Source organism: Homo sapiens, chromosome 9 (assembly GCF_000001405.40).
Source record: "Homo sapiens chromosome 9, GRCh38.p14 Primary Assembly".
In the NCBI taxonomy this organism is placed as follows: Eukaryota; Metazoa; Chordata; class Mammalia; order Primates; family Hominidae; genus Homo; species Homo sapiens.
Genome location: NC_000009.12, coordinates 97,285,482 through 97,304,580, shown reverse-complemented (window position 1 = coordinate 97,304,580; position 19,099 = coordinate 97,285,482). Strand labels below are relative to the sequence as shown.

At 42.5% G+C, this 19,099-nt stretch overlaps 1 long non-coding RNA gene and 2 pseudogenes across 4 annotated transcripts in view, besides 2 other annotated features; all 3 read right to left on the bottom strand.

The window, feature by feature from the left end:
• Positions 1 to 19,099, bottom strand: part of SUGT1P4-STRA6LP-CCDC180 (SUGT1P4-STRA6LP-CCDC180 readthrough) — a 138,870-nt gene that overhangs the window by 72,715 nt on the left and 47,056 nt on the right. For 2 of the 3 annotated variants that reach the window (NR_036528.1, NR_036527.1), the window contains exons 9-14: positions 16,846 to 16,921; positions 13,916 to 13,997; positions 13,679 to 13,727; positions 13,094 to 13,210; positions 10,471 to 10,634; positions 9,590 to 9,736 (exon numbers count right to left, since the gene is read on the bottom strand). This is a non-coding gene — a long non-coding RNA (SUGT1P4-STRA6LP-CCDC180 readthrough). The remainder of the gene's footprint in view (positions 1 to 9,589; positions 9,737 to 10,470; positions 10,635 to 13,093; positions 13,211 to 13,678; positions 13,728 to 13,915; positions 13,998 to 16,845; positions 16,922 to 19,099) is intronic. The other variant, NR_036529.1, reaches the window with a different exon arrangement.
• Positions 4,518 to 4,617: a silencer, noted in NCBI's record as "silent region_20098". NCBI's record gives its function as "represses an Ori minimal core promoter by ATAC-STARR-seq in GM12878 lymphoblastoid cells {active_cell/tissue: GM12878}" and the evidence as "EXISTENCE:reporter gene assay evidence [ECO:0000049][PMID:35858748]".
• SUGT1P4-STRA6LP (SUGT1P4-STRA6LP readthrough) overlaps positions 7,267 to 19,099 on the bottom strand; it is a 58,889-nt pseudogene continuing 47,056 nt past the window's right edge. The window contains exons 9-16 of the transcript NR_036526.1: positions 16,846 to 16,921; positions 13,916 to 13,997; positions 13,679 to 13,727; positions 13,094 to 13,210; positions 11,906 to 12,025; positions 10,471 to 10,634; positions 9,590 to 9,736; positions 7,267 to 8,961 (exon numbers count right to left, since the gene is read on the bottom strand). The product of NR_036526.1 is annotated as an SUGT1P4-STRA6LP readthrough (transcript). The remainder of the gene's footprint in view (positions 8,962 to 9,589; positions 9,737 to 10,470; positions 10,635 to 11,905; positions 12,026 to 13,093; positions 13,211 to 13,678; positions 13,728 to 13,915; positions 13,998 to 16,845; positions 16,922 to 19,099) is intronic.
• Positions 9,279 to 9,456: a silencer, noted in NCBI's record as "fragment chr9:100057407-100057584 (GRCh37/hg19 assembly coordinates)". NCBI's record gives its function as "represses an EF-1alpha promoter that drives an FKBP-Casp9 reporter gene in an ReSE screen in phorbol 12-myristate 13-acetate-treated (for megakaryocytic differentiation) K562 erythroleukemia cells {active_cell/tissue: K562(+PMA)}" and the evidence as "EXISTENCE:reporter gene assay evidence [ECO:0000049][PMID:32094911]".
• Positions 10,470 to 13,728, bottom strand: STRA6LP (STRA6 like, pseudogene; annotated as a pseudogene).

Sequence of the window (19,099 nt, the reverse complement as noted above, 5' to 3'; positions counted from 1 at the left end):
TCTAGTCAAATCTTTTGCCCAATTTTCCTGGCAGATTGTCTTTTTTCTTATTAATTTATGGGAGTTAGTTACGTATCATAAATATGAGGCTTTTTCACATAAATCTGGCAAATATGTATTCCCATTCCGTTCTTGCGTTTTTACTCTCTTGAAGGTGACTTTCAATGAAGTGATGTTACAACTTGAATAGGTCCCAATTTATCCATTTTTGTCTTTATGTCCAGTACACTTTGTGTCCTGCTTAAGAAATCCTTGCCTGTCTCAAGGTCATGAAAATATTCTCTGATATTATCTACTGTAAATATTGTTTTAAACTTTCACATTTAAATTTACAATCCACCTGGAATGGGTTTCTGTTTATAGTGTGAGTTAGGAGTCACGATTCATTTCTTTCCCATATGGAGAACCAGCTGACCTGGGCCGCTTACTGAAAAGACTGTCTTCTCCCTACTGCTCTGCACACCTCTTTCATCATACATAAAACATCCAAATGTGTGGGTCTGAGTTGGGCTCTCTATTTCTCTTAGTTTCTATCTTTGCACTAGCAGCACACACAGCCTTCATTACTATAGTTTTAAACTAAGTCCCAATATCTGGTAGTGTAAGTCCTCCACTTTATAGTAGGGTGCTGAGAGTGGGGCCAGAAAGTCATTGGGTGGGGGGGTTCAGAAATGTTCTCATTGAGGTTACATTTTTTGCTGTGACCAGAAAGAACAGAGGAAGCCAGCCCTGCCCAAGTATTTGTGTGATGGTTACTTTTATGTGTCAACTTGACTAGGCTAAGGGATACCCAGATAGCTAAGAAAACATTATTTCTGGGTGTATCTGTGAGGCTATTTTCAGAAGAGATAAGCATGTGAATCAGTAGGCTGAATTAAAAAAAAAAAATGACCTTACCAATGTGAGTGGTGATCATCCAATCCTTTGAAGGCCCAAGTATAACAATAAGGTGAAAGAAGGTGAATTCTCTCTCTCTCTAAACTAGGACATCCTTCTTCTCCTGCCTTTGGACATCAGAGATCCTGGTTCTCATGCCTTCTGACTGTGGAATTTACACCAGCGGCTCCCCAGGTTCCCAGGTCTTCAGACTCAGACTGAATTACATCACTACCTTTACTGGTTCTTTTGCTTGACTATAACATAGTGTAGGACTTCACAGCCTCTGTAATCATATTAGCCAACTCCCATAATAAATCTTTTCTTAGCTATCTATATCTATATATCTCTCTCTACTTATCCTATTGGTTCTGTTTCTCTGGAGGACCCTAACTAATACAGATTTTGACACTAAGAGAGGAAAAGAATTTTAAGGATTAGTTTTCTGAACTGGTTTTGGGGTTTCTGAAAATGGCTCTCTAATCTGTTTAGACATAAAGATGCTAATGACTTCATTTCCAGTAGTAGAGAGAGCACTGATAGTCCATGTAGTGAACTATTTATAGAGATGTGCAAAATATCTGGATTGGGTACTTCTAATTAACCACTTATAAGAAGGAAAGAGCTAAGTAAGTCTGTGTATGACACTTCCAAACATTTTTTGAAAACTAAGAAATATAGTTATGTTGGTTGATTGCTTTCACTACTGGATAAAGCAGTGAAAGAAAAGCTATCTGAGTCAGGTATTTGAATTCCAAGCTCAAGAGCCACATAAATGACTTAATTAAGAGTGTCTAGGTGTGCCCTGAGGGAGAGGCTTATCTCCTGTAGATGCAGGACTGAAATTACTGAAAATCAGACACAGGATCTTATCCCAGCAATTGGACGAATTACAAGCAAGTTGAACCCCAAGCCTCCCAGGGTGTCCAGTTAAAAGTTCAGGCCTTCATTGGGAAACAGGGTTCTATACGTTGGGATGGGGATGTGTGAGAAAATTTTGATGAAGCTGGGGACACTGAGCTCCTAAATTTTGAAGTCTTCTTTGCCAATGGAAGAGGTATCCCCACTCCCAGAAAAAGTGGCTTTCCCACCCCCAACAGAAATAGCTTCCCACCCACAGTGGTATCAGCTGTTCAACCTCTATCTGAGGGCCTCAACCCTGCATTGTCTGAAGAAATGATGGCCTTATATGAGGTAGTTACCATGAAAGATAATAATGATGATTCTCCTCAAGATCTACCCCCACTACCCGTCTCTAGACCTCTAACTAGACTCAGGTCCCAGCAGGCCCCTAAGGTTAGGTACAAAGTGTGATGCATGAGGAGGTACACTACACTCCAGAAGATCTGCTTGAGTTTACTAATTTATATAAGCAGGGATCCAGAGAACATGTGTGGGAATGGATGTTAAAGGTATGGGATAATGGTGAAGGAGCATAAAGCTGAACCAGACTGAATTTATTAAATGGGCTCACTAAGCAGAGATTTTGCAGCTTGAGAAGTTAGAAAGAGCACTAACAATTTGTTTGGTTAGTTTGCTGAGTCATGGATCAAAAGATGAGCAAATTGGAAATGACTGATCTTTCTTGGTTTAAAGTAGAAGAAGGGACTTAAAGTCTCAAGGATATTGGAATGTTAACGTGAATTTGTCATTTAAAACCTAATCGCCCACACCGAAGGTTCCAGAAGACATGTTTTTCTCCCATACTTTGAGAAATAAATGAGGAGCTCCAGTATCCTTAAAGAGCTCTGCAATCTCTCTTCTCTGTAGGCCAGACCTTAAAGTGGAAACACAGTCACTCAACTGGAAAACCTAAATGCAATAGGAGTATTTGGATTTTGGACTGGCAGGGGTCAAGTGGAGGCTCAACAGCCCAGACAAGGTGGTCTAAATTACCATAATGAATAGCTGAGTCAAAAAAACAATCAGAATTATCTGAATTGCACAGCCCTATAATGTTGGCTACTCATTTACACCAGTGGCTTCCCAGGTTCTCAGGTCTTCAGACTCAGACTGAATTACATCATTACCTTTCTGGGTTCTTTTGCTTGACCACAGCATATTGTAGGACTAGTTAATTACAGTGTTCTTAGAAGTGAAATAGATAGGAAGTCTACTAAATTCTTATATGATCCATATAAGCAGAAAAATTCCAGGTCAAGTCACCAAAAGTCTAATTTGAATCTAAAAACAAATAATCATGGCTCCTCAATCAATTCCAAGTTTTGAGCCTGTTTATACACTTGAAATCCTTTGAATGAAGGGGAAGTTGGGCCTCCTCAAGGAAGGACACAACTGAAAATTTAGACAGTACTGTTAATCTCTCTCTCAGCCTTCCACAAGGGACATACAGCTCTTTACCACGGTAACTGTGTATTGAAGAAAAGGAAATAATCAGACATTTCAGGGACTACTGGACACTGGCTCCGAACTGACATTGATTCCAGGAGAACTGGAACATCTTTGTGGTATCTTGATCACCCTTCCTTGCCATAAGATATCACACTAGTCTATTACGTTAATGACATTAGACTGATTGGATCTGATGAATGAGAAGTAGCAACTACTCTAGACTTATAGGTAAGACATTTGTGTGTCAGAAAAGTGGGAAATAAATCTAACTATAATTCATAAGACTTCTACTTCAGCGAAATTTTTAGGGGTTGGGTGGTGTGGGGTACGTCAATCTATCCCTTCTAAAGTGAAGGGGAAGATGTTGCATCTAGCTCTTCCTACAACCAGAAAGAGACACAATGCCTGGTGGGGCTGTTTGGATTTTGGAGGCAACACATTCTTCATTTAGGTATGTTACTCTGCACTTTCCAAGTGGCCCAAAAAGCTGCTAGTTTTGAGTGGGTCTGAAAACAGGAGAAGGTTCTGCAAAGGTCCAGGCAGCTGTCCAAGCTGGTCTGCCACTTGGTCTGCCACAAGTACCATTGCTCCAGCAGGTTCAATGGTACTTGAGGTGTTAGCAGCAGAGAGGGACGCTGTTGGGAGCCTTTGGCATCCTACAGGTGAATTGCAGCTCCTGTCTTTAGGATTTTGGAGCAAGGCACTACCATCATCTACAGATAACTAATCTTCTTTTAAGAGATAGCTTTTGACCTGCTACTGGGACTTAGTAGAAACTGAATGCTTGATCATGCGTGGGCCACTAAGTTACGATGTGCCCTGAGCTGCCCATCATGAACTTAGTGTTATCTGGTCCACCAACCCATAAAGTTGCCATACACAGCAATACTTCATCATCCAATGGAAGTTATATATATATATATATATATATATACATACATACATACACACACATATGTATATGATTGAGCCTGAACAGGATCTGAAGGCAGAAATAAGTTATAAGAAGTGGTCCAAATGCCTGTGGTTCCTACTCTTGTTACAATGCCTTCTCTCTCCCAACCTGTACCTTGTGGCCTCATGGGGAGTATCTAATGTGGAAGCTGACAATACAAAATGGAGTCACTTATGTCAAAACTCTAACCAAAATGGTGTCAGGGAGGATCCATAAAGAAGAAGCCCTCATGGTTGCATTCTAAAATACCTGCATATCTCCTTCACACCTTGCTAACAGAATAACAGAATAGAACTTATCACAGAAATTTTCTCTGATCTGCAGTATTTCAGATAAGACACTTGGGGCCAGGACATTTGCCTAGAAACAGCTATTTTCTCCCAGTGAACTAACACCAAGTCCTGAAATGAGTCACTGAAACCAATGAGCTTTGTTTCAGAGCAGCTTGCATGTACTTCTTGATGATCGTATGATTTCAGTCTTTTAAAATTTAATAAGACTTTTAAAGGGCCTAACATATGGTTTATCCTGGAAAAGGTTCCATATACACTTGAGAAGAAAACGTGTTCTTTTGTTATTGTATAGAGTGTTTTGTATGTATTGATTTATGGTGTTGTTCAAGTCCTCCATTTCCTTATGAATCTTCTGTCTGGTTTTTATATCCATTAAAAGTGAGGTATTGGCTGGGCACGGTGGCTCATGCCTGTAATCACAGCACTTTGGAAAGCCAAGATGGGTCGATCACTTGAGGCCAGGAGTTCAAGACCAGCCCAGACAACATGGTGAAAGCTCGTCTTTACAAAAAATACAAGAAGAAAGAAAAAATTAGCCAGGTGTGGTGGCGTATGCCTGTAGTCCCAGCTACTCAAGAGGCTGAGGTAGGAGGATTGCTTAAGCCCAGGAGGTGGAAGTTGTAGTGAGCTGAGATCACACCACTGTACTCCAGCTTGGGCAATGAAGTCAGATCCAGTCTCAAAAAAAAAAAAAAAAAACAGAAAAGAAAGAAAGAAAATGAGGTATTGAAGTCTCTAACTATTATTGTAAAACTGTCTATTTCTCTCTTCAATTTTGTCAATTTTGCTTCATATGTTTTGGAGTCTAATATTATATATGCATATGTTTATAATTGTTATATATTCCTGGTGGGTTAAACCCTTTATCAATATATAATGCACTTCTTTATCTCCTTAACCCATTTTTTCTGAAAATCTTTTTGTTTTGATAATATCTAGCCATTCTGGCTCTTTTCTGGTTATGACTTGCATAGAATATCTTATTCCATCATTTTACTTTCAATCTTTTTTGTTTATAGATCTAGAATAAGCCTCTGGTAGACAGTATATAGATGGATCATGTTCTTTATCTTCTCTGCCAACCCCTGCTTTATAACTGGATGATTCTAATACATTTAAATTTAAAGTAATTACTGAGAAGGAAGGATACACTTCTGCTACTTATCTATTTGTTTTCTCTATGTCTCGTATGTTATTTGTTCTTCAGTTCATTCATTTCAGCCTTTTTGTGTTTAGTTGATTTTTTGTAGTGTACTATTTTGATTATCTTCATTTCCCATTTCTGCATGTTTTTAGTTATTTTCTTAGTTGTTACCTTGGGTATTAAAATTAACATCTTAAACTTATGACAACCTAGTTTGACTGATGCCAACTTAGTTTCAATTATAAACAAACTCTGCTCTCATACATTTTCATCCCTTCCCCTTTATGAAGTTACTGTCATAGATTGCATTTTAATACAGTGTGCCCAATAACATAGATTTATCATAAGTGATTCATGCTTTTGCTTTTTCAATCATAGAGGAAATAAAGGCACTCTAAATGAAACATACAATAATACTGGGTTTTCTATTTATTAATGAGGTTGCCTTTATCAGTGATCTTTATTTCTTCATATGGCTTTGAGGTACTATATACTTTTACTTCTGCATGAAGAACTCACTTAAAATATTTTTATGGCAGGTCTATTAGTGAAAAACTACCTTGACTTTTGTTTATCTGGAAATATCTGAATTTCTTCTTCTCTCAAAGGATAGGATTTTCTAAATATAAAATTTTTGATTGACAGTTTTTTCTTTCATCAGTTAAGATGTATCATCACACTACCTTCTGCCCTTCATGGTTTCTGATAAGATATCCACTGTTAATCTTATTGAGGACCATTCACTTGTGGTGAGTCTTTTCCCCTTTGCATCTTTCCAGATTTTTTTCTTTATCTTTGATTTTCAACAACTTGGCTATAATGTGTTTCAGCGTATATCTCATTGAGTTTATCCAGCTTCATTAAGCTTCTTGGGCGTGTAGATTCATGTCTTTCATCTGATTTGGAAAATTTTCAACCATTAATTTTTTCAAATATTTTTCTTCTCATTTTTCTCTTTCTTCCCCTACTGGGACTCTTATAAAATGTGTATGTTGGTTCTTTTGATATGTCCCCCAAGTCCCTCAGGTTGTGTTCATGTCTGTGACCTGGAAGGCTACCCAGGGTCTTCAGACACCTTTGGTGTCTTGTCTGAGCCTGCCTGAGGGTGGCATGGGAATAGAATAAGGTATAGCAGGTAGTCCTGAAGCTCTACTACCTAAGATTGACACTGGATTCTTTTGAATATTGTGCTTCTCTTAATACATTCTATGTCTACCTCATCTCATCCCTAGAAAGCAGTGAGGCCTAGTGGTCCCAAAATAAAGATTCTTCATGTTGAGTGTCTTCATCTAGCATGATCTCCAAACTCCCAGGAAACTTCAAAGCTGGAAGGTATGCCTTGCCTTTTCCCCAACACAAATAAGAAATGCCCTATGTCACATCCTGTAGATTCCAGCTCCCATGCCACTTCCTCTGGAAAGTCTTCACTAACTTTACACAGGCAGAATTAGTAGTTTTCTTTTCCAAGTCTCCACAGAACTTTGTACAAGCCCATGTTATTACATATAGTGGGTTGGATCACAGACAGCTGTTTACATATTAGCCTCCTCAATTCACGGCAAGGTTTCCCATGGGTATTCACTCACTATTCATTAAAACCATGATGCCAGGATTGATTTTGGTAAGTGAATTCATACTCAAAAGAATTATTCATCTTGATCTCATTATTTTATTCATTCCAAGATCTTATTATGTTATAGGTGTGTGCTTGGTGATAGTAAGCAAAACCTGAGAAGGCCTCTTTCTTCATGGAGCTGGTATCTTAGTGAGGGGGTGAGCAGATATTAATCAGATCATCACGAAGTGTTATATGACAAATAATAATAGTTAATATCTATTGAGAGTTTAGGATGTGTGAGACACTATCTTAAGAGTGTTTGTCTCTATTAACTCATTTTTTTCCTCAAAACAATTTTAGGTGTTAGGGGGTATTACTCTCTTTTTATAGATAAGAAAAGTGAATAAAGGCAAAGTAATTGAGCTGCTGGCACACACCTACAAAGTGGTGGCATGAGAATCCCAACACTTTGAGTCTTGGTTTTCTCAGTTTCTAAAAAGCAGGATGATAAAGCTCAGTTACAGAGATTAAACTAAGAGACAATGCTGGCAAACACCTAGCAACAGGACTAGGTTTTACATTAGGTGCTTAACAATAACAACTGAATTACAATTGCTCTTGGATTCATGAGGGGAATGGGGATTCCCCTTTGTCTTGTTGGTGGGATCCTCATAATATCTGCAGAAGCTTCATAAGGAATTTTGAATGGACAGATTTTGTACAGGTCCTGGGCCAGGTTTTTGTGCTTCAGCATGAAATGTGGTTAAGTACTGGGCTTTGCACAGGACAAATGTCCAAGCCTCCTGGCATGACATTTGGCCCTTCTTGGGATGGTCCTGGCCAGCCCCTAGAGTTCTGTACCCCGACATGTCACATGGCTCACCCTCCTCAAACATGCTTGGGGCTTGCTTGCTCACAGAACTTTACTCTTGTGATCCCCCACCTGGAATACCTGCCTACCCTGTCTTTGTATCTTCAGACAGGTGGCTTTTCCAAGTAATCCCACCCTTATTAGAGAGAATCTGTGCATCTGCTTTATGACTAATGCCCAAGTTAGCTCTGATCCATTCCTCATCTCAGTGGCAATGGGAGAGAAAGCCTGTTGTGTGCCTGCTTGTCTAAAAACACTGGGGACCAGGATCATGGATTTCCTTTTTTTCCATCCACCATAAAGCCTGGCAAGAAGAAAGCAATGAGGATACTGTCAGATTGAAATCCACATTCTGTTCCAGAGAAAAATTAGGATCTGATGGTTAAACTCTCCTGATGTACACATTTTACCACCTTCTCCAGTGACATAAAATTCTGCTTTGTAGGTAAACTAAGTGCTTTTTAACAAGTAACTCTCCAAGGCTGCCTACCCACAATGGATAGTGGAAGTCATTAATGGGTAAAGTTTGTTCAACAGACTTTTCTTTAGTTTTTTAATCTTTTTTGCCAAGGGAGTGAAATAGTCCTGAAACTTCATCCCTCAGCCCAGGTGGCCATCCCATGAGTGACCATTGTTGTCTGCCATCTGCATGGATGGTGCCTGTGCCATCCCATTTCATTGCAGGGGACAGCTGCTGGTTAGATTGAGCCCTCTCTTGGTGGCAGATGTCCTAGCCTGGCTTTGGAGCAGATGATGGGGGCCAGCGTCAGCTCTCCGAGCATGCCATCAGAATTTGGGACTCCTGGGAACTGTGCCCTAATTTTAATTTTCTGTGCATGGTGAGTCTTGGGTTGTCGATTAGGGTCTGCAACAGGAACCACCTTGTTCTGGACCTAGCTGAGACATGGGGACCTAGGATAGAATCAGAGCAGACAGACTGAAGGAGTGAGGGGTCTCAGGGAGGGGAACTCCCTCTCCAAAGTGTTTGAAAGGGCTGCCTGGAATGTGTAAGATGTGGCACATTCATGTGAGACTGGGACTCCTGCAGACATGAGGGAGGTTGAAGGGATGTAAGTTGTCCTTTAGAATTGAGTATCTGCAGTGTTGGGAATAGCAATGAACACAGTCTGAGCCCTAGAGAGGCAGAGAGCCTCAGAGATCTTGTGGTAAGCAGCAGGGCAGAATCATCAAAATGTAGCCTCATCTTGGAAGACATCTGCCATGTAGCCTGGGATATGGGTTGGAGACTCAAACACATGGGATATGGAGAACTCCACTAGCAGAGCTAGAGTTCACTTCCAGGAACAAGGCAGGAGACCAGTTAACAGGACAAGGACACAAAGCCTGAGTGGGTCCCATCGTCAGGTTGACTGGGAGCTAAGCCTCCTGGGCTTCCTAGCTCAAGGGCACCCAGGGCATGGAGTATAGAGAAAAGGAGCAGGAAAAGCGGAACCTGGGGCACCTCAGGGATCCCAGGGAGCCTCAGGGTATTTACTTCCTGGGGTCTGAATCCAGCGTAGGTTCAAACAGGAGCCGTTACCTGCCGATTGATTTAGGCACCAGTATTTGGTGCTCTGCTGCAGCTTCTTCTCCCTGTGATTTGTGATCAGGATGTGGCAAAAGCTGACAAGCACAGGGTTGATGTGATAATGGTCCATGTAGAGCATCCCAATCCATGCACTGAACCCTGAAATTCAGAGGCAGGTCAGGCCAGGCAGTACCTCCTGACATGGCCCCATTTGTGCTTTTCAGATATAACTGCAGAGCCAGTTTGCTCTCCAATGGTGCCTGAGTCTTTTCTGAGAATCTAGAAAATGAGGTATAAAGATCTGCAGGACTCTTAGAGATCATATTCTAATCTGCCCATTTTATGGGGAGCTCAAAGCTCAAAGGGTTAGGAGCTGCTGTGGCTAATCCCAAGCAAGCATCAGTACATTTATTGAATAGATGAGTGAATGAATGACTGTGGGCTCAAAACAGAACAAAAACTACTTTTGCTTCCTCAGAAATGGCTTTGAATTTGCAGCATTTCAACTGAATGGAACATCTTCTGCACTGTTTCCAACTAACAACACTAATAATTCTGAGATATGTTCTTCCTAAAAATTTTCAGAGCTGTGCATTCATAAATTAACTTCTAAGTGTTCAGACAGAATTTGACTACCTTTGACTACTCTTCCTGTATACCCCAAAGGTCTGCCAAATGGGCAGGAATTTAATAGCCTTGAACTCTCTTTTGACCAGGGGGCTGCATGTGTCTTTACTACTCAGCTTTATAGCCTCTGCTGGAAGATAAACTCTGAGCATAAATGAAAGGCATGAACTCTGGGCCTCTGATACTCGTCTTCCCAGGCAGCTGCCACAGAGGTGCAAGACCAGCCCTCTCCAGAGGATGTGGCCAGGTGGGTGCTGGTCACTTACCCATGTCTGCTCCCTCATAGCCACTCTGCATGATGGTCCTGTCGATGCGGGCAATCAGCCACATGCCGAGGAGGCAACTGATGAGCAGCCTGGAAAGGCAGGCACCCAGGCCCAGCAGCACGTTGTAGAAGAACAGAAAGTAGTTGAAGTTGTGGAACGCTTTCCTGCAAACAGAAGCCAGCCCAAGGCACCACCTTTCAACCTTTCAGTAGAGCAAGGTTGCTAGGCAGGTAGGCTCTGGAGTCCCCCAGACCCAGGGTCAAATCCTACAGGTCCAGGCTCAAAGCTTTGTGACCTCGTGCCATAAAGGGGAGCTGATTGCCCTCACCTCACAGCACTGGTGTGAGGAATGGCTCAGGTACAGTGTGGGGGCCACTGAGCACAGTGAAGAATGTATGTCAGTGGGGACAGTCATTGTTTCATGCGATCCTTGGAGTTTGAGGCTTCCTGCATGATAAGGAATTTCACAGGGCTGCAGCTGGGTCAGTGATTATGGCAGAGGGTGGGGCTTCCCCACTGTCTGTTGCACGAGGGACCTATTCCTAGCTGCAGCTGTTCCAAAGTCTTCCAAAGGAAATTTCCCAAATGACCGCCTGATCATGTGGTTTCCTGTTGCCTCTGGAATAAAGCCCAAACTTTGCATCCTGAGTTTCAGCCCCCTCACTGCCCCCAGGGGTGTGGTCTTGTCACTTTGTGTCCCCTTCCTGTCACTCACTAAGTCCACTGCATGGCAACCATTTGCGATTCTCACTCTTCTAACACATCCTGACCTTTTGTGGCTTCCTGCCTTTGTCCTTGCGGTGTTGGCTGCCGGCCATACCCTCTCATCTTCTCTGCCTGTAGAAATCCTACCATTCTGCTGACCTCAGCTCCAGAGTCCCATCTGCAGTGGCATTAACCACCCTCGCCTCTCCTCCTCCGGGTTTCTCTTGTATTCCTTTTGCACTCCCTGGCATCCTCTGTCCTTGTTGTTTATGTGCCTGTTGTCTGTTCCAGTGGACTGAGCTTCTCACAGGCAGATTGCGTTGGGATTATTTCTTTACCCTCATGCCCATGTTGTTCCCCCAATGAATGGATGGCTTTGAATGAATGAATTAGAAAGGATTTCCACGTGCTGAGCACTATTGTTCTAAGTTCATATTTTAACACAGTTCATCCTCACAATGCCTCTTTGAGGTATGCACAATTATTTGTAAATGGGGAAACTGAGGTTCATAGATGCTGAGTAAGCTCCCACATGTCACATGGCTCCTAAGGGGTAGAGCCAGGATCTGGACCCCGGCAGTCCAGCTCCAGAGCCCCCCACTGACCCACTGTACCTCACCCTCTCAGAGTGTAGAGCCTGCCCAGGAATCTGTCATGGGGGACAGGGAAGGACCCAGAGATGGCTGAAGCCAAAGGCCTACAATTCCCTCATTCCCTCCTTCACTGTCACCTGTTGTTGAGAGCCAGGGGCTTCTGCTTGTCAGCCGTGCCCAGCTTTGGCTGTAGGAAGAAGCTGGCAGCGATACACATCTGCAGGATCATGAGACCCACAACGATGGATATTGTAAGGCTGAAACACAGGGTGGGGCCATCCTGAGGCAGCCTTTTCCCTTCTGCCAGATCCTTCTCTGATGCCCAGTGAGAGAGGGGAGACAGGTTGACCACCCGGCAGGACAATGGTAATGTGAGTTCCATGCTTTACACTTACAAGGCATTCCCACGCCCATTGTGCAGAGGAGAAAACTGAGGCTTACAAAGGGGAGGTGACCTTCCCAAGACCACATGGTTAGGTCTTCTAGCTCCAGATCACAGACCATTACTCCAGGATTTCACTGATGTCCCTTTCATCAGGGGTGGCAGCTGGGTGAGCAGTTTAACAGGTTGGGAATTAAAAAATGGAATGCAGTTCTTGGAAGTTCCTGAGAAGACCACAAGAGAGTGGACAGGACAGGCTCTGCCCCCAACTCACAGGTGGTTCGAGGCAAGTATGGAATCAAGAAGCTCAGAGCAGGGAGGGGCCCCAGAGAGCACTGCATGCTGTGTTGACATCCCCTGGAGTGGCAATGAGAGGCAGTGGCTAAAAGGAGGCTTTGGTTTCAGATTGCCCAGCTCCCAATCCTGAGTCCTCCCCCTGCTTGGAGGAAACGCTCAGTCTCTCTGTGCCTCTGTTCCCTGGTCTGCAAAATGGAAGGTAACACAAGCACCAAGTTCATAGGCTATTATGAGAAAAGATGCATACTAAATGCTCAATGAAGCCAACATTACTTTGTCTTCCAGATATGTAAACTGAGGTGCAGAGAAGTGGAATAACTTACCCCAGGTCACACAGCAGATCCAAAAGCTTTGCCAGGATTCCCTGCTTCCTTCCATCATACTGTCTTGCCTCTCATTTTACTTTCCTAAACCTCAATTTTCCCAGCTGGAAAATGGACATATGTATCCCCCACCCCATACATGGTTGTGAGGGCATTGTGGAATGGTGTGAGAGGCAGCCTTTTGTGAACGCTGTTTCCCCCCACCATGAGTTACTATCATGGCCCATCTCTGGGTCAGGGCCAAGACCATGGGTCCACATAGCAGTTGGGGGGACCCCAGCTCTCAGAACATGTCAATGACAGGATACCCGCCCAGCACTTACATCCCAATGCCCAGCCCTTGCAGCATTTCCAGGCCCTGGTTTGGACGATGGGTAGCACCAGGCTGTACATGATTGCCATGCCACATAGGCTCTGTACCATGTGAATGATGAGGTAGCCTAGGAGTGAAGGGAGCCAGTGGTAACTCAAGGTCCTTCGTGAGCTACCCCCTATACCCCTCCTTGCAGGCCACCCTCTACCCTCCTCCCGCCAGACACCCTGGCACGCTTGCTTATCTGTTTCTTCTACTGGCAAGGCCTCACATTCCTTCCTGTTCACGTCCTACTCTACCTGCCAGGTGCAGTTCGAGTGTCAACTCCCCTAGAAGGCACCTGAGCCCTGCCCTGGGGCTGGATAGTCACTTTCTTCTCTGGGTCACCACCACCCTTAGCATATGAACTCCCTGGGTTCAGGACGGGTGGTGAGGAGGACCTCGAGACTATGTTTCTCCTTCTGTCCTGAAGGTCCCTCAAGGGCAGAGGCTAGGGCTGCTTCTGACCACCTCTCTCCTCCCCACTCACAGCCAGGACTTCCTAGGTGATGAAGGGATGTGTGCTGAATTGGATGGGTCACATAACGGCACTTACCCCACAGAATATAGGCTATTTGCCAGCCAGAGTACCTTGCAATGGCCACCTGAGGTTTAAAAGGAAAAAAGGGGTCTCAGAGCAGGAGGAAAACTTCATCACCTCTGCAACATGTGCCCAGCATCCCTTTCTCATTGGAAGTTCACCCACCAATCCAGTGAGGCAGGTGTCATGCTCACCCTCAGGTTTTGGCATATGGCTTAGTCTCAGATCAGAGAGAGACCTTGGCAGACTCACCATGCTCTCCGACGAGGCCGGGTTATGGAACTTCAAAGGAAGAAAATGTTTATCTCCTGCCCATAGCCTCTTCATGTGCTTTCTGGAAAAGACGTAGGACATTAAGTAGTACCCATAACTGATGGCTCTTTGTGCATAATTGGAGTCCCATAGATAGCACAGTAAGGCCTGCGGGGCTGATGGTATGCACCCTAGCCTCCCTGTGCTGATTGCAGCTCACCAGGTAGCCCCAGGACTGCATTAAAAGTCTTGATCTTTAGTCTAGATTATATTTTGTAAAAATAATATGTATTTATTGAGTCATAATGGTGACTGAATCTGATAGATGAGATTACGTGTGGCTTGTTTCTTTTTCTTTTCTTTCTGTCCTTTCTTTCCTTTTTCTTTCTCTTTTTCTTTCTTTTCTTTCTCTTTCTTCCTTCCCTCCCTCCCTTTCTTCTTTCTTTTCTTTTCTTTCTTCCTTTCCTTCCTTCCTTTTTTCCTTCCTTCTTTTTTTTTGACAGGGTTTCACTCTGTCACCCAGGCTGGAGTACAGTGGCACCATTTTGGCTCACTGCAACCTCTGCCTCCTGGGCTCAAGTGATCCTCCCACCTCAGCCTCCCAAGTAGTTGGGACTACAGGCACATGCCACCATGCCCAGCTAATTTTTTTATTTTAATTTTTTGTAGAGACAGGGTCTCACTATACTGCCCAGGCTGGTCTCAAATTCCTGGACTCAAGCCATCCTCCTGCCTAGGCCTCCCAACGTGCTAGGATTACAGGTGTGAGCCACTGCACCTGGCGTATTTTTCTTTCTATATTTTCTTATTTTTCTATGATGAATATGTATTACCTATGTAGTAAGATTTAAAGACAGTTGAAAACGTAGCCAGCTGTGGTGGCACGTGCCTTTAGTCCCAGCTCCTCGGGAGGCTGCGGCAGGAGAATTACTTAAACCTCGGGGGCAGAGGTTGCAGTGAGCCAAGATCACGCCACTGCACTCCAGCCTGGGTGACAGACCAAGACTCTGTCAAATAAATAAATAAATAAATAAAGTTGAAAACAGAAAACCAATTTCACTGATTGCCTAACCTTATAACAATGTAAAGGAAAATGAAAAAGGGGAAACAACCCCTCACAATCCCACCCCTTACAAGTCACAGCTTCATTTTTCAATGTTCTAGCCCAGTCCTTGGCCCTGTGCATAAAGGTGAGGTTGACAGCATTATGTTCATAGTCTATACTCATATTTGTGTCCTAGTTTTTTAATTTCACATTCTCTCTCCAGCAGTTTTCAGCCTGTTTTGTACTTTTCATGACCACTAAATTGGAAAGACTTGGAACAAATACAGAATGTAAATATCTCAATAATAATTTTTGTATATATTACATGTTGAAATGATAATATTTGAGATATATTGGATTAAATAAAACATTATTAAGACTAATGTAACCTGTCTATTTTTAGTTTTTAAACAGAGGCTACTAGAACTTTCAAAATTGAACATGTGAATTTCATTTTGTTTCTGTTTGGCAGCATGGAGTTGAGTGTGGTACCACCAATACATACAACACACACAGAGCACACACTCATATTTGCATTGTGCATGGAAAATTTCTGGAAGTATGCACAGAAAACAGTTAACAGTGGTTATCTTAGGGCAAAAAATTAGGGGTTTGAGTAGGAGGAAGACTTACTTTACGCTAAACATTTTTTGTAATATTTTTTAACGCACCTGTATGTAGGTTGGAATAATAAAAACTACAATGCTGACACAATGCTAGTGCTCTACAGTTTGTAGTGTGTTTCTCATCCTTGGTGTCCTCTGCCCCATGGTTCTGATAAGGAAGCAGGGCAGGCATCATCACTCCTGGGTGACAGGTAGGGGCAAGGGCAGCCTGGACGGGAATGCAGGCCTCCTCTCCCTGTGCCCTTGGCCACACATCCATGTCCATGCAGCTTCCTTTGCATCGTGCTTGTCCCTGGTTGTGCTCAAATGTCTCAGTGAATATCTCCCAGCCACATGCAGACTAATGAGGGAAGGAGGAGACATGTGCACACATCAGGCAGGGCAGAGGTAGTAGCAGTATCCAGACCACCTGTGGGGTCCAATGAGAAGAAAGTAGAGAAAGGGAGCAAGGCAGGGCTGGTGGAGAGCTGGGACCCTTCATGCCAGGAGAGTCTTCTTGTGGGTGTCCTCTGCAAGAGACTCACCCTTTGGGCAGGCATAAGAGGAGGATGTAAAGGCAGGATGCTCTTCAGAGCTGGATATTGGCCTGGGCTTCCTGTAAGACTGTGTGTGTGTGCGTGCGTGTGTGCATGCATGTGTGTGTGTGTGTGTGTGTGTGAGAGAGAGAGAGAGAGAGAGGTGACCAGCAGGTACCTAAAACCCAACTGATATCTGCGTGCAAATGCTCACACCATGTTTAAAGCCATTCCCTCTTCCTATACTGCTTTTCTTGAGATGGATGTCCTTTGTCCCCTTGATTCAATATTCACTGATGTTCCCTTGAGCCAGATTCACCTGCTGGGGACCCAGTGTTACTAGCCCTGTAGAGCAAGGCAGGTCTGATACCCAATAGAGGTGTCTGAGTGTACAAGAAATAACAAGGTCTCTGGGGTCAGAAAGACTTGATCATCTGCTAATTGCTTGGGCAAGTTATTTAATCTGGTTGATTTTCAGCTTTCTCAACTGTAAAAATAGGGATGAAAGTACTTATCCCTCAGGGTTGTTGTGAAATTCAAGTGAAGACTCTAAGCATAATGTTAGCTCATTGTAGAAGTTCAAATCAATAATGCTTTTCTTCTTCCTACTAAAAGATGTGGTTAGTCCTGGACCTTGCATTCACTTCCTAGGCCCACTGCAGGCACTATTTGGAGATTCTGAGGAAAGCTTGTCATACATATTCCTGGTGAAAGACAAACAAATGACTCTGAGAGTACTCTTACCTGTAACAGACCAAAATGTGGAACAGATAGCTCACACACGTGAGATACGCGGGCAAAATGGTCGCCACCCAGACTCCTGAAATATGAAAAGTGATATGAGAAGCCTTGAAAAATAAACATGAAATAGAATTTTTAAAAATGCGGAATCCTGCACCAGAAAGTTCTAAGCAAATCAAGTAGACTTTAACACATTTCTTGTGTAAGTAAACTTTTGCTCATTTTCTGTTTTATTTTAGCTGCACACACGCTTAGTATAGTTCCTGCATACTCCTCTCATTTTGTACTAATATTTTCGCTCTACAGTGAAGAAAGGAAGAAAAGTTATGGAGTATTTCCCACATATCATACATAGCCTCTGTGCATGAAAAACATATTTGACCTCTAATTGCCACTTTTTTGGGAGGGATGTTGGTTATACCTCAACCGGGTACAAAGATAGCTGGGATCAAGATGTCTTGGCTATTCACTCACCCACCCTTCAGCAAGTTTTGATATTGAGAATCTAATTTGCTTTTAGAGAGATTGTGTGCGTTCATGAGAGAGGGATGTAGAAACAGGGAAGTAGGATGATTTGTTGGTTTAAAAACTTGTGTAGAGGCCGGGCACGGTGGCTCACGCCTGTAATCCCAGCACTTTGGGAGGCCGAGGCGGGTGGATCATGAGGTCAGGAGATCGAGACCATCCTGGCTAACAAGGTGAAACCCCGTCTCTACTAAAAATACAAAAAATTAGCCGGGCGCGGTGGCGGGCGCCTGTAGTCCCAGCTACTCGGGAGGCTGAGGCAGGAGGATGGCGTGAACCTGGGAAGCGGAGCTTGCAGTGAGCCGAGATTGCGCCACTGCAGTCCGCAGTCCGGCCTGGGCAACAGAGCGAGACTCCGTCTCAAAAAAAAAAAAAAAACTTGTGTAGAAGTTGATTATCAATAGGTGCAAAAAAAGTATTTGACAAAATCCAACATCTCTTTACAATTAAAAACATTCAACATCTGGTGTTCTGTTGCACAGTACAGAAACTATAGTTAACAATAATGTGTTGTATATTTCAAAATAGCTAGAAGACAGGATTTCGAATGTTCTCACCATAAATAAATGATAAATGTCTGAGGGGATGGGTTTACTCATTTAATCATCAGTCAATGTATATACATATCTAAACATCACATTGTATCTAATAAATATGTACAATTTTTATGTGTCAATTAAAAACAAAACAAAACAAAACAAAACACTACTCAACCTATTAGGAATACAAAATAACTTCCTTAGCCTGATAAAGAGCATCTGCTAAAAACCCACAGCTAACATCATACTTAGCAGTAAAAGACTGAATGCTTTCCCCCTAACCTCAAGAACAACAACAACAACAAAAAAACATATCTACTCTCCTCTAGCCAAAATTGTACTAGAGGTTTGAGCCAGTGCAATTAGGCAAGAAAAAGAATATAAAATGCATCCAGATTGGAAAGGAAAAAATAAAACTCTATTCACAAATGCCATGATCTCATATATAGAAAAAGCAGGAAATATACAAAAAAACTATTAGAACTAATAAATGAGTACAGTAAGGTTTATAGAACACAAAAGAAATATATAAAAGTCAATTGTATTTCTATACACAAGCAATGAACAATCTGAAAATGAAATAAGAAAATGATTGCATTTACAATAGTATCAAAAATAATAATATTAAATTTAGCAAAAGAATGTAGAACTCATACACTGAAAACCACAAAAGATTTTGAAAAAAATTAAAGAAGACATAAATTACTGGGAAGACTTCCCATGTTCACATATAGGATATTCATTGTTAACACAGCAATACTACACAAATGGATCTATAGATTCAACTCAATCCCTATCAGAATTCAAATGCCATCTTAGCATTAATTGACCAGCTAATCCTAATATTCATATAAAATTGAAGGAACCAAGAATAGGCAATAAAATTCTGTAAAAGAAAAAGAAAATTACAGGACTTGCTGTTTCTAATTTCAAACTTACTACAAAGTTACAGTAATGAAGGCACTGTGATACTGACATAAGGACAGACAAATAGATCAATGGAATAGAATTGAGAATCCAAAATAAACCCTCATACTTATGGTCAATTTATTATCAACACAGATGACAAGACAATTCAATGGGGCAAAAATGTGTTTTTTGACAAATGGTGCTGGAACAACTTGATATTCACATGCAAAACAATGAAATTAGACTCCTACCTCAAACCATACATAAAAATGAGCTCAAAATGG